This window comes from Homo sapiens, chromosome 18 (genome assembly GCF_000001405.40).
Source record: "Homo sapiens chromosome 18, GRCh38.p14 Primary Assembly".
Classification (NCBI taxonomy): domain Eukaryota; kingdom Metazoa; phylum Chordata; class Mammalia; order Primates; family Hominidae; genus Homo; species Homo sapiens.
In genome coordinates, this window is record NC_000018.10 from 59,005,158 (window position 1) to 59,020,413 (window position 15,256).

The 15,256-nt window shown below is 41.4% G+C and overlaps 1 pseudogene across 1 annotated transcript in view; it reads left to right on the forward strand.

Moving 5' to 3' along the window:
• OACYLP (O-acyltransferase like, pseudogene) overlaps positions 1 to 15,256 on the forward strand; it is a 72,699-nt pseudogene that overhangs the window by 8,547 nt on the left and 48,896 nt on the right. The window contains exon 2 of the transcript NR_024021.3: positions 14,351 to 14,491. The product of NR_024021.3 is annotated as an O-acyltransferase like, pseudogene (transcript). The remainder of the gene's footprint in view (positions 1 to 14,350; positions 14,492 to 15,256) is intronic.

Consider the following 15,256-nt stretch of genomic DNA (forward strand, 5'->3'; position numbering starts at 1 on the left):
AGTAGAGGTGGGGTTTTGCCATGTTGGCCAGGCTGGTCTTGAACTCCTGACCTCAGGTGATCTGCCTGCCTTGGCCTCCCAGCGTGCTGGGATTACAGGTGTGAGCCACCGTGCCTCGCCCCAGAGCATTTTCTTAAAGTGCAATGGGCCCATGTGTGTCTACAGCAGAGGACTTGCCAGGGAAGCTACTGATGTGGAATTATAACTTTGCTGGGCAGATCCTGGCTCCTCCCCAGGCTTCATGTGATTGCTGCATTTTGCTGCACTTGATTCCTCTGGGACAGAATGAGGAGGGAGGAAGGGAGGCCTCTGGATCCCAAGCAGCCTGCAGGGCTTTTCATTTCCTGTTTCTCTAATCTCATCACATTCTTGAAATTGTCCCCAAGCAGCTACTTTTGCTCTGAGACTTTCTTAACCCTTCAAGTCCCTCTTCCCTGGTTCCTATACCAAGCCCTGATGGCCAGGGCACTGAGCTTCCTACTCGGGTCACTTGCTCCCTTTGGCTTCCTCGTTTCCCTCCCGGAATGCTTATTTCATGTTTCTTGTCCGTGTGCCTCACCTTCTTTCCTGGAAGCCAAGGCCACGGCTGATGCCTTGTCGGAGGCAGGGGTCTGCAGGCAGACACTGAATGGACCAGCACCCATCATGGGCCCCTGGCCGAGCCTGGTTCCCCTGTCACCAGGGCAGGTCTGGTCATCTTGATTTTCAGTCTCTGAATGTTGCCTCTTTTCCCACCCAGCTGTTAGTCTGGAGGGCATTTTACTCAAGGCCTGACCCTCTCCTGGTGCTAGAGCAAGGGACAGAAAAGATGCTGAAATGAAGCAAATGTTAAAATAAAGGGTGAAACTGGGCTTCACTGAAATTCCGGGTTCACTGGATACCAAATATCCATGCTGCAGTAGACTGAAACACAGTCCCCCAAAAGACATCCCAATTCCTGGAGCCTGTGAATGTTACCTTGTATGGAAACAGGGTCTTTGCAGGTATGATTAAATTAAGGATCTTAAAATGTGGGGGTTGTCCTGGGTTATCCAGGTGGGCCCTAAATGCAGCCCCATGTACCTTTAGAAGAGAGAGACGGGCCAGGCTCACGCTGGTAATCCCAGCACTTTGGGAGGCTGAGGCAGTTGGATCACTGAAGGTCAGGAGTTCGAAACCAGTCTGGCCAACATGATGAAACCTCGTCTCTACTATAAATACAAAAATTAGCCAGGCATGGTGGCAGGTGCTTGTAATCCCAGCTACTTGGGAGGCTGAGGCAGGAGAATTGCTTGAACCTGAGAGGTAGAGGTTGGCGTGAGCTGAGATGGTGCCACTGCACTCTAGCCTGGGTGACAGTGAGAATCTCAAAAAAAAAGGGAGACAGGAGGAAATATGCATCCACCACACAGGCACACGCAGATGATGTGACCACAGAGGCAGAGTCTGGAATGCTGTGGCCACAATCCAAGGGGAGCTGGCAGCTGGAGGAAGGAAAGAACAGATTCTTCCTGCAGCCTCCACAAGGAGTGCAGCCCTTGCTACTGCCTTGGTTTCAGTCCAGTCATATTTATTTGGGATTTCTGGTCTCCATAACTGTGAGAAAATAAATTTCCATTGTTTTAAGCCATGAAATCTGTGGTAATTGCTACAGTAGCCACAAGAAATTGATATGCATGCTATTCTTGTTCTTTTGGTCTAAGGTTAATAGCTGACCAGACACAAGGGGGACTGCCAGGAAGTGTCTGCTAAGAGCCTGTCTTGGGAACTAGGCTGTGAAATGGAGGGCACATTCAGCTCTTTCTTTTACCGCAAGGAAATCTCTGGCACCAGATAGTTAGCATTTTACTGTATGCCCTGTATCATCAACTATAAGGCAAGGACTATTCTCGTTTTTAAAAATCTCCAGTGTAACAGCAATCTGGTAGGTGCTCAATAAAAGCTTCAAGGTCATAATTCCTTTCAGGATTTGTTTCTGGCCTGGCATTCCAGAAGCTTCCACTGCTTTCAACTTCATGATGTCAATGCATCATATTTAAAAACTTAAGACTGTAGACCAAGGTCTCCTTTTTCCTCTATTCAAACCCAGAAATTAATCAGCTGTGCATTTTAATATCCACATTTCATTGCCACCAAGCGAGAAAGAAAATTTGCCTGCCAATTAGCACAGAATTGAAACAAGTTGTTTTTAATCTTTTGAAAATGAAACTTGGAACAACTGCCATATGATTTGACGTAGCAAGTGCGATTAATCATTCATTTATCCTATTTCTCCCTCCAATGACAATCAGAATGTATTTTGATTTGGAGGGTGCCTGTGCCCTGGCATCTCTTAGGTTCTTGACAGAAGCTAATTAAGGATTAGTTTGGAAAAGGGCAACTTGTCCATTTGAATTCATACTCAGAAAGGAAGCAAATGCAATTTGAAAATTTGCGTAGCAAATGATATGAGCTCAGCTAGACAATCACAAATGCAATCAGTTTAGAAAGCAAATACCAAGTGGAAAGAAAACAAGAATTTAATCTTCTCAAATGAAGAATGGGATATTCTTCATGTGCCCTTCAGGATTTACCTAAGGAGGGAGACAGCCTCAGTTTTGACATCTCTTTTGTCTCCTTCAAAGTTTATGGTTCCAGACCCTTTCTTACACTTTAGGCTACAGAGTTGGGGCTACTCTGTGACGGAATAGGGGATTTGAAAATCATTTAGTGTGTTACAGGCCGGGCATGGTGGCTCATGCCTGTAACCCCAGCACTTTGAGAGGCCGAGGCAGGTGGATCATTTGAGGTCAGGAGTTTGACACCAGCCTGGCCAAGATGGTGAAACCTCATCTCTACTAAAAATACAAAAATTAACTGGATGTGGTGGTGCACGTCTGTAATCCCAGCTACTTGGGAGGCTGAAGCACGAGAGTCGCTTGAACCCAGGAAGTGGAGGCTGCAGTGAGCCCAGATGGTGCCACTGCACTCCAGCCTGGGTGACAAGATTCTGTCTCAAAAAAAAAAAAAAAAATTTAGTCTGTTACAGTAAATGCACCCAGTTTTTTTTTTGTTATTGTTTTGTTTTCCTGACACAAGGAGGACTTCAAAATGTCTCTGTGGAGCTGGATTTTGGGCATTTGAAGTTAGATTTTTTTAAGTTTAATTTGATTCAGCAAATGTTCACTGAGCTCCTGCCCTGAGAGATACATGAAGACATAGCGCCTCCTCCCTCCCCTCACCATGGGAGACAGACAGGTACACAATGACAACATACCTTTAAATGTGATATGTAAGCAAGAATCTGGAATGCTTCTTAGGGAAGAACATCCTTCAGCCTAGACTTAAAGGATGACTCAACATTTGCCAGGCAGATGGAAAGGAGGAACATTCCAAGCTTAAAGACAGTGTCGCCTGGTGCGTTCTGTATCTCGGAGCAGAGGAAATGAGCGTGGGTTGGGAGGACGAGACCAGAGGGGCAAGCCAGGTTACGAAGGGCCTTTTAAACCACACTCAGGAGTCTGGAATTAATCCTAAAAGTCAGAGCAGGCAAGCCTGGCTGCTCATTAAAATCACCTGGGACATTTTGAAAAACAATTAAAGCTCAAGCCTCACCCCTGACCAATTAAGTCATTCTTTGCGGGGGTGGAGCCTGGGCGTGAGTTTTTTTTTTTTTTTTTTTTTTTTAACGTCTCAGGTGATTTGAATGCCTACTAGAATTCCCACCAGAGCTGAGAATCACAGCCCTAGCTAACCGGTCTGCAAAGTTTTTCCCTAAAGGGCCTGATAGGGTCTCTCTTACAGCTACTCCACCCTGCCATTTTGTGCGAGAGCAGCCCTGACAATATGTAAACGAATGAGCAAGGCCATATTAAAAATAAACTTTTCTTAAAAGACAAGCAGGGTTATAGTTGGCCAACCCCTACTCTAGATGATGGGACGCCATTAAGAATTTAAGAAGTATATTGATTCAAAATTTTTTACAGATTATTACATGAATAATACATGAATTTGTTCACACTGTAAATGAATCTAAATAATGCAGACAAAGTTCAAGGCCTTTTTATTCCCTCATTCAAATACCAATCCCTTTCCTAGATGATAAGTGTTATCAATGAGGTATAAATTTTTCTAGAATTTTCTCCTTCCTCTTTTTGGTATGTACTAGAAAGACATAATTTTGTTTTGTAAGTTTAAAAAATATATTTATTGTTTTTGCCAGGCACGGTGGCCTGTAATCCGGCACTTTGGGAGGCCAAGGTGGGAGGATCACTTGAGTCCGGGAGTTCGAGATCAGCCTGGGCAACATAATATATAGACCCTGTCTATACAAAAATTAAAAAACAAAATTAGCTGGGTATAGTGGTGTGTGCCTGTAGTCGTAGCGACTCAGGAGGCTGAGGTGGAAGGATCGCTTAAGCCTGGGAGGTCAAGGCTGTAGTGAGCTGAGATCATACCACTGCACTCTAGCCTGGGTGACAGAGTAATGTTCTCTCTCTCTCTATATATATATATGTATATATGTGTGTGTGTATATATATGTATATATATGTGTGTATATGTGTATATATGTGTGTATATATGTACACATATATGTATATATACATATATACACACATATATATACACACACATATATATATGTAGGACACAGTCTGTGTCCAATTCTTTTTGCCATTACAAGAATTACTGCCACAAGCATCTTGCAATGTGTGCTCATGTGTGTATCCCTGGGGCAGATTCTGAGATGTTGACTTGCTGGGTCACTGTGCCTAGCAGTTAGAAAGGAGTCTTTGGTTAAACCCCAGACACTGACTCTGGCAAACTTCAACATAAAAGAAAGCTATTGGCGGAGTATGGGGCAGCTCAGAGGAGGGAGGGAAAGGCCAAAGACCTGCTTCCTGGCAGATGAGTGGAGCCCAAGCTTGGCTTTGGGCCCTGTCTAACTTCACTAAAGTCCTGGCAGAGGGTTGACCTTGTGTCACAGTGATGAGAAGTAAGGCTGGGTGTGGCTTCCAGGGATCCCTTTGGGCTCTGTAATGAGAGGACAGAGCACCTTGATTTTTTGGTCAAGATTGTGCACAGTTGGGGAGTGGTATTCTCTAAAAGAAAATCTAGTTGCTTACTAAGAAGAGAATGGCTTCTAGGAGACCAAAAAAATTTCTTCAGGCAGGGTGTGGTGGCTCACTCCTGTAATCCCAGCACTTTGGGAGGCTGAGGCAGGTGGATTACTTGAGCTCAGGAGTTCAAGACCAGCCTGAGCTACAAGGCAAAACCTCATTTTTATCAAAATAAAAAAAATAAAAATAAAAAAATTTCTTCATATTCTTACTGTCTTAGTTCATTTTCTGCTGCTATAACAGAATATGATAGACTGGGTAATTTATAAAGAAAAGAGATTTATTTTCTCACAGTTCTAGAGGCTGGGAAGTAGACTTCCCAGCATGGTGTTGGCATGGTGTTGGCATCTGGTAAGGGACTTTGTGCCGTGTTATCCCGCAGTGGAAGGTGGAAGGGTAAATGAGAGAGAAAGCATAAGGAACTAGGCTAGCTTTTATAATAACCCACTCTCTACACAAGTGACCCGGTCCTGCAATAATGACATTAGTCCATTATTAGGTCTCTTATTAGGCCTAATGAGCTCTTATTAGACCTCACCCTCCAATACTGGTACACTGGGGACTCAGTTTCCAACACATGAATTTTGGGGGAGACAGTCAAACCATGACACTCACCAACACTTAATTGGATTAACTTTAAAAATTTTAACCAATACAGTAGGTAGAAAAGAGTGGTATCTAATTGTCGTTCACTGGCAAGGCTGAACAGCTTTCTCATATTTATTAATCAGTTGGATTTCCTTCTCCAAGGGTTTCCTGTTCATATCTTTTGTGGATTTTAAATTAGTTTCTTTGACTTTTTAAAAATGTTTGCTTTGTGCCGGGTGCAGTGGCTTACGCCTGTAATCTCAGTACTTTGGGAGGCCGAGGCAGGTGGATCATGAAATCAGGAGTCTGGGACCAGCCTAGCCAACATGGTGAAACCCCATCTCTACTAAAAATATAAAAATTAGCTGGGTGTGGTGGTGCATGCCTGTAATCCCAGCAACTTGGGAGGCTGAGGCAGGAGAATTGCTTGAACCTGGGAGGTGGAGGTTGCAGTGAGCTGAGATCACATCACTGCACTCCAGCCTGGGCAACAGAGTGAGACCCCACCTCAAAAAAAAAAAAAAGTTTGCTTTGTAAGAGTTCTTTATATGTTCTGAATGCGATTCTTTATCTAAGCTATAAATATGGTGACTGTGTTCTCTCCTTATCTTTTAACTACGTTCTTGGTGCCTTGAAGAGTTTAAAGGAGGGGAGGGACATGGTCAGTCTTGTGATTCAGCTCAGTCTAGAAGATCACTGATGGCTATAAACGGCCAAGTTGGACACCAGCTCTAAAGTTCTGAGTGTGGTGAGAAACAAGGAGACTCAAACTCATTGGAAGAAAAATGGGAGGGTCGGTAATTCTCATTCCAGCAAAAACCTGGAATAATGAAAACCTATGGAAAAGAGGTCACTGATAACCAGCACCCACTGGCTGAGCCCAAGAGGTCTGATGCAGTGGAACTGGCCAAAGAAGAGGCGAGGGCTCCTGTCAAAAGCCAGTTAACCCGGTGAACTCAGCAAGTACCGTTTGTCAAGTTAGGACCAGGAGGTTTTCAAAATGACATATTCCTTTTTTTTTTTTTTTTTGAGACAGAGTCTCTCTCTCTCTCTCAGGCTTGAGTGCAGTGGTGTGATCATGGCTCACTGCTGCCTTGACCTTCCCTGGTGAGGTAATCTTCCCACCTCAGTCTCTCGAGTAGCTGGGACTACAGGTGCAAGCCACCACGCCTGGCTAATTTTTTGTACTTTTGTAGAGAGATGGGGTTTTGCCACATTGCCCAGAGTGGTCTTGAGCTTGTGGGCTCAAGCGATCCACCTGCCTCAGCCACCAAAAGTGCTGGGATTACAGGTGTGAGCCACCACACTCGGCCTATGTAGTTCCTTTTTTTTTTTTTTTTTTTTTAAAGCACACATGTAAGCAAAATGCAGTTCCTTCAACCTGATTTCCAGACTAAATCTCAGAAATCCAATTGCAGTAGTTAAGACAGAAATGCTGGAGGAGCTGGGTCATTTCACAAGCTCTATTGGGGTTTTCTCCTCACTCCTTCTAAGGATTACCATTATCTTTAGTTATGTCTAAGAATCTATATTCCAAACTGACAAGTAAAAACTGGGTCCTTGTGTCTATTTTAAAGAGTAAGAGGTTATGAATTCAGCTTAAACTGGGTTTGAATACACAGCTCTAATTCTTGCTAGCAAGTAAAAGGAGGTAGGTTTATGTTGTTGTGTATATTACTTATCATTTCTGAGCCTCAGTTTTCTCACTTCTACTACCCTTTACTGGTAATGTGACCTTGAGTGAATGACGTGACCTCCCTGTGCCTCAGTTTCCGTATCTGTAAAATGGGGACTATAATGATTACTTAGCTCATAACATTACACAGTTGTGTGAGGGTTAAATGAGACAATGGACAGAAAGCAACTCAAAACATGCCTGGCACACACTAGGGCCTACGTGTTAGTTGTTATTGTTACTGATGTCAAAACTGGGAGAAGCCTTTAGGGTCCTGAAGGCAGTCACCCGGTATGTATGGTGTGTGTGTGTCTGTGTGTCTGTGTGTGCATTTGTATGTGTGCAAGTGGTACTGCCTACACAGTGGTCCTCAAAGTGGTTCCTAATCAGCAGCATCTGTATCACATGAGAATTTGATAAAACACAAGCTCAGGCACATGTTATACCTACTGAATCAGAAACTCTGGTTGTGGGGCCCAGCATTCTGTGTTTTACCAAGCCTGCAGGGACACTGAAGCATGCTAGCCTGTGAAAACCGCAGGCCACCATTGCCCCTGAGAAAGAAATCCACAGTAGCAGCCAGGGTAGCCTCTGTCTGAAGCATTCGCGGCAGGGCAGGGCTCTGATCCCACCCTCCTGCCCCTTCTCCCGCCTCCCTGGGGTTAGGGGCTGACCAATATTCCTGGTCATTCACTCATTCACCCTTCTGCCCTCTGCCTTCTGCCCTCTTTCTTCCCTAAGAAGCTGGGGGATCACAGTCACAGGAGATTATGTCTTCTCAGTGCTGCTTCTTTCAAATAATTTGAGGGAAAATTCCAGACTGAGAGAGTTGCTTGGTAGGGCTGGAATTGCGGCTGATTCTGTGTGCCAGGGTTTTCTGCCCTGAGGGTCATGCTGTCTTCTCTACACTCTTTAAATTTCTGAGGTGGCACACACTCTGGGGGTTGGGCTGTCACATGTTCTTGAACACATACACTTCACCAGACAGAGTGTAAGAATGCACAAGCAAAAACCTCCAAATCCTTGAGGAGCAGGCACATAAAAGAGGGACATTGAATTGAATAAACATATGTACTATGGGAAGCTGAATGATTGGAACAGGTGGGTCATCAGGAATTTTAAAAAGCACAATAAATATAATCAGAGATAAGGGAGAATATGACTGATACAAAGCACGAAAACACAATCAGGAAAAGTCAAGAGGAACAGTTGAAATCAAAACAAAATTGATGGGATAGATAGTAAGATGGACAGAGGCCAAGAAAAATTAGTGAGCTGGAAGATCAGTTTGAAGATCTCTCAAAGCAGTGCAGAAAAGGATAAAGAGACATGAAGGTAAAAGAAAAACCAAAGAATATTGAGGCTAAAGGTGCCAACAGTTGGATAATAGAAACCAAAAGGAGAAATGTAACAAAGCAAACGGAAGGAAGGCAATATTTGAACGCATAATGACAATACTTTCTCTGGAATTAAAGGAAGATTAAAAATATCAGATTGAAAGGGTTTACAGGATGCTAAAACAAATAAAGAAAATTTACACTTGAGTACATGTCAGTAGAGATAAAATTAAGAATATTAAAAGCAATGAGGAAATCCTAAAAATTTCTGGAGAGAACAGCAATCAGATTGACATCAGACTTCAAAATGACAGAAGAAAAGCTGAAAGAGAAACCTTCTCTGTATGGAAACTAAATATTATATTACCAGCTAACTCTTTGTAAAAAAAAAAGAAAGTGTACTGGAAAGTTGCACACACACACACACACACACACACACACACACACACACACACACAAACACTTAGAGCTGAATGATAATGAAAACACCAGAGGTCAAAATTTAGATACAGATATAGCAGTACTTAGAGGGAAATTCCTAGCTCTCAATACATGTTATAAGGACACAAGGAAGGTTGAAAACATGAGCTAAGCAATCAACTCCATAAATTTATAAAAGATAGATCAATCTCAAAGAAACAATAAGGACATAATAAAAATAAGGTCAGACCAGCCTGGCCAACACAGTAAAACCCCGTCTCTACTAAAAACACAAAAATTAGCTGGGCATGGTGGCAGGTGCCTGTAATCCCAGCTACTCAGGAGGCTGAGGCAGGAGAATCACTTGAACCCAGGAGGCAGAGGTTGCAGTGAGCCGAGATGGTGCCACTGCACTCAAGTCTGGGCAACAGACTGAGACTCCATCTCAAAAAAAAAAAAAAAAAAAAAAAAAAGTCAGAAATGAATGAGACAGAAAAGAAACAAACCCATAAAGAATACCAAAATTAGCAAAACCAAAAGCTGATTGTTAGAGTCCTCAAGCAATAGTGAAGGAGGACAAGTGAGAAAAGATAGAAATAAAAACTGAAGAATGAAAAAGGAGTAAATATAGATACAACAAAGAATAAAAAATTATAAATGAATATTTGGAAAGCAAGACAAAACAAATAAATTAAAAATTTTTTGAATGATTCAAAAAGAAATAGAAAAATGGAAAACTATTAAGCATTTAAAAAATGGAAATTAAGACCTTTCTTCTCACTGAATTATAGACTATGATGGTTGAAACAGTTCCATTCTACCCAACTTCTTACAATATACAATCTCAGTTGTTCCAGCAAACTTCAAAAGTGTGAAAGTTGTCCATCTCACTTTACTTTTTTAAACCTTTTTATTTTAAATAATTATAGCTTCACAGGAAGTTGCAAGACTAGTTCAGCAATGTATCAGTTGTACCCATGGGATTTTAATTTATGGAAGTGACTTAGCATCTCCATTGAAAGGACAATGCCATTGAAAGATGATTTTTAGGCTGGGCATGGTGGCTCACGCTTGTAATCTCAGCACTTTGGGAGGCCCAGGCGGGAGGATCATGAGGTCAGGAGTTCAAGGCCAGCCCAGCCAACATGGTGAAACCCCATCTCTGCTAAAAATACAGAAAAATTAGCTGGGCGTGGTGGTGGGTGCCTGTAATCCCAGCTACTCGGGTGGCTGAAGCACAGACTTGCTTGAACCTGGGAGGCAGAGGTTACAGTGAGCTGAGATCGCACCGCTGCACTCCAGCCTGGGTGACAGAGTGAGACTCCGTCTCCAAAAAAAAAAAAAGATGACTTTTGGTACTTGCATTTCCTGGAAGGAGGGGCCTGCCATGCCACACAGAGCCACCTGGGGAAGCATATGGTTGGCCAGGAGGCAGGAGGGTGAAGGAGAAGCATAGGTCACTGCCTTTGTCAGGGTTTCTGCAGGGAAGCCAGGCAGAGCAGGGTGAACAGTGCAGGACTGCCTGGTTTGAATACCGTAGGTGGCCTCTGGGTAACATGGGTGATCTCAGATTGTCTGGCACCTGGCCCTGGGGTGCTTTAGGGCAGAGGAACATTGACTTGGTGTGTGAGAGTTTGATAAAGGCGATAGCTGGGGTCATGGGCTCTGGATTGATTCATTTGCATGTTAATGGTATGCTCCTAGGATAAGCCTTTGCTCCTTCTAAGAATTGGGTAGCCATGGGAGGGGCAGTCTCTTCTCAGTCAGCAAGGCCACAGATATCAGAGCTTGACAAATACAGAAAATAAGAAAATGTAGTTAACACAATTGAGTGATGAATGAGTGAATGCCAAATAGACAAATACAAAATCTATGAAAACACAGATCAAGAAGGGTTTCACATATCTTTCATACAGTTTTCCCCAATTGTGACAAACATAATTACAGCATATTTTTATTTATATATTTATTTTTTTAGACAGGGTCTCGCTCTGTCACCCAGGCTGGAGTGCAGTGGTGAACTCTCAGCTCATTGCAACCTCTGCCTCCTGGGCTCAAACAATCCTCCTACCTCAGCCTCCTGAGTATCTGGGACTATAGGCATGTACCACCATGCTTGGCTAATTTTTTTTTTTGTATTGTAGAGACAGGGTTTCACCATGTTGCCCCAGCTGGTCTCGAACTTGAGCGATCCACCTGTCTTGCCTTCCCAAAGTGGAATTACAGGTGTGAGCCACCTCGCCTGACCTATAGTACAATATTTTTTAAAAAATGAAATTGACGTTGATGTAATCTGTGGATATAGTTCTATGTCATGGCATGTGTAGATTTACGTAAGCCACACTCCAACCAAGATTCAGAACAATTTCATCACTAGAATGTTCTCCTTTGTGTTACACATTTACAGCCATATATAACCCATTTCCCTCAACATCAGTAACCCTAGTAACCAATAATCATTACAGCTGTTCCTGAAAGCAAAAAAGTGTGAAAGCTGCCCAACTCACTTTGTAAATTTGATTATAACTTTAATTCCAAAACTAGAAGAGGAAGAAAGAAGTGGTACAAGGATTACAGAGGGAGAAATAAAACTGCAGAACTAATAAGAAAGTTCAGCAAATTCACCAAATATCAGAACAAATTATAAAAATCAATAGCATATTTCTATGTCAGCAACAATCAATTAGAAAATATAAATTGAAAATAAAATACCACAGAAAATAGCCAACTCTACTCTATTTAGGAGTTGTTTTATCTAATCTGTTTTAAATTTACCAAGAAAAAAAAGTAAAATTATAAGGATACAAAAAGATTTGCATAAATAGCATGGTCTCCAATGATGGCTTGGTATAAAAATAATGTCAATTCTTCCTCAACATTAATGTATAAATTCAAAGTAATTTTAAGTCAATAGTCTAGTTGGATGTTTTGATGAACTCAGCAAACATTTTTCTGAAACTTGTATACATGATTAATTGTCCACAACTAACTAGATCCACTTTGAAAAAAAACAAAAAAAAACTAAAGGCAGAATACCTGATATACTACAAATCCATAATAATAAAAACCATATAGTTTTGTTTGTTTATGCTTATTTATGTCTTTTTTCCTTCATTTAAAAAATTCATTTCCTTTCATCTTTCTTCATCTCTTCCTTTCCCTTTCTCAAATTCCCCTTGTTCCATATGTGTGCTGTGTATCCTCTCATTTGTAGGTGTTCTTGTTTTGTGTATGTGTATTTGCCATATGTATGAATGGTTTTATGCTTCCACCCTCCTTCTGTTTTTATATATGTCATGCAGTGCTATATTTTTACAATTTTATGTGTATCTAGTCCAGTGCTAGAATCAGGGCTGGCTCCAGGGCATGCAATTCCTGCAGTCACACAGGGATCTACTCTTAAAAGAGCCTCATACTTGGCTGAAGTGTGATTTGCTGTCATCATCTTCAAATTCTTAACCATTTTTAAACAAGGGGCCCTGCAATGTCATTTTGCGTTGGCCCTACATGCTCTGTAGTCAGTGTCATCTCAGATAAACAAAATAAACCAGAGAGCTCAGAGGCAGATCCATGTATATATGAGACCTGGATATAAGAAGAAACTTGCTCCATGAATCCATGATGAAAGGGAAAACTATTTAGAGGTGGTTTTGGGATAACTGGTCCACCTTTTGGAGGGAAAAAAAAATGCACCATGATTCAGATGGATTAAAGACTTAAATACAAAAGGTAGAACTATAAAGATGGTAGGAGGTAATATTAGAAAATCCTTTTGTGACCTATGAATGGGGAAGAATTTCTTAGGAAAACACCAAAAACACAATCGATAAGCAAAATATTTGTGGATTTCATGATACCAAAAGTATGGGTTTCTGTTCATTGAAAGACACCATGGAAAAGCCAACTGACAGATAACTGCCAGAGTGTCTACTTTCAATGACTCAGACAGACAGAATCAAGGTATAGAATAATAAGCAGCTCTGGCAAACCAGAAAGAAAAAAGTCTATTAAAAATTAGCAAAGGACACATGGATTCAGAAGAGAACATTTAAATGGCTGACTAATCAATAAAAATACCCTGGCTCATTTGTAATTAGATAAATGAAAATTAAGCCAGTAATTAAATATCATTTTATATCCATTAATTGCCAAAAATTAAAAAGCTAAACAGTACAAAGCAAAAAAGAAAAAAAAAAAAAAAAGAGCCAGCATCCCTGGGGAATATAGATTGAAGGAGTCCCTCTAGTGAGTAATCTGGCTGGATTAACACAGACTAAGTATTTGTATGCCTTATCATTCAGCAATTCCACTCACAGGTAGAATCTGAGCTCCATCTTCATGTTGCTCTATAAAGGGACACATATAAGGATGATCACTGTGTGTTTCTGTGGGCTGGAGTCATCTATCCATCCATCATCTGGGGAGTAGTTAAGTCAAAGGTGGTGATGGATTATTATACAGAAGTTAGTGGCCCTGGACTAGATAACACATAAAATTGTAAAAATGTAGCACTGTGTGACATATATAGAAACAGAGGGAGAGTGGAAACACAAAACCATTCATACATATGGCAAATACACATACACAAAACAAGAGCACCTACAAATGAGAGGATACACAGCACACATATATGGAGTGAGGGGAATTTGAGAAAGGGAAAGGAAGGGATGAAGAAAGATGAAAGGAAATGATTTTTTTAAAATGAAGGAATAAAGGCCATAAATAAGCATAAACAAACAAAAAAGACTCTGCAGGACCAGGGCTGAAAATGCCATGAACTGTGGAACTTGATCACTCTAATCTTCCGCTCCTAAGGTTAAATGAAAAAAGAAAAAAATTAACTCTCTCTAAAGTAAGGTCTCACAGAACTGGATAAAATTTTTTAAAAACATGAGTATTTTCTCCTGGGTATATGTGGTGGAGAAAGAAAAGCTATCAAATTTTAGTTATACCTTTTCACTCCCCAGAAAGCGTTTGTTTTTTAAAAGAAATCAAACTCTTCATCTTTTTCAGCACTGTTGGTAGACAATGTAATAGCACGAAAATTCACATCATTGTTCTCCCAGCATGATGAGAGGGGCTATGTATGCAAAACATAGGCTCAAAGAGTAGCATCTGACTAGATCTGTTTCTCTTCTTTTTCAGTCACATAAGTTTGATAGATTCAGAAGGTAGAGCTGAGTACCTATCAATTTATTTAAACGTGACTCCAGAAAAGTAATTCTGCAAACTTATCTTGCCTTGCAATTCAGTGTATGACTCTCTGGGGAAGCTTGGGAGCAACACTTTCAATGGAAACAATGGACAGGCTGGGATCATACATGGAGTGTCTTTCCACCCCTGCTCCCAAGGGGAACTTCCGAGGGTGGTACTGCAAGCTTCATATACTGCAGGTGAGTGTGGGAGACCTGCACGCTTGCTCTTGCAGGACAAGTGAATGTCATGATATAGAACAAAATACAACTCCATTGATTCCTTTTCTTAATTAAAAAAAAACTATTATGATGTTTTGCAAAAAATAAAAACTAAGTTTTAAGTACTTGACAGAAACCTGCTCCGCATCTTGAGTGTGGGACATTAAATGAGACTGTTGTTCACAAACCACATAGGACTTGAGATATTCCTTCTACCACATTGTATGGGGCAAGACCTCTGGACAACTTTCACCGGGAATCCAAGGTCAAACACTGGTCAGCAGCTTCTATAGCTTCAAATGCTATAGCTCTCTTTTTGAGAGCTATTTTGAGTTTGCTGGTAGCTCTCTTCTGCCCTTCTCTGCTGGGGTCCAGTAGGGACTCTCCTCTACTTCAGATTTTGAGGTCCTTTACCAAAGGACCGCATCATTACTTGGTATGAGGTGGATTAAGTCAAGGAGCTTTAAATGCACTCCTGATTCATCAACAGCTTTTAGAATACCAGAGGCAGGGTGGACTTCCCATTACCCTTAACTCTTTTCTCAGAAACAGAGCTCTGAACATGAATTTGAGGTTATCCTAGCAGATGGGCCAGGACTTTTATGAAAACATTACTAAATCAGTTGACCAAGTTTGCAGGGCTATCTTCAAAGCATGTTAATCCTTTTATTGCTCAGGAACAAAGCAAACAAACAAAACAAAAACAAAAACAAAAAACAAAACTAGGAACAGCATAGCCTGTTA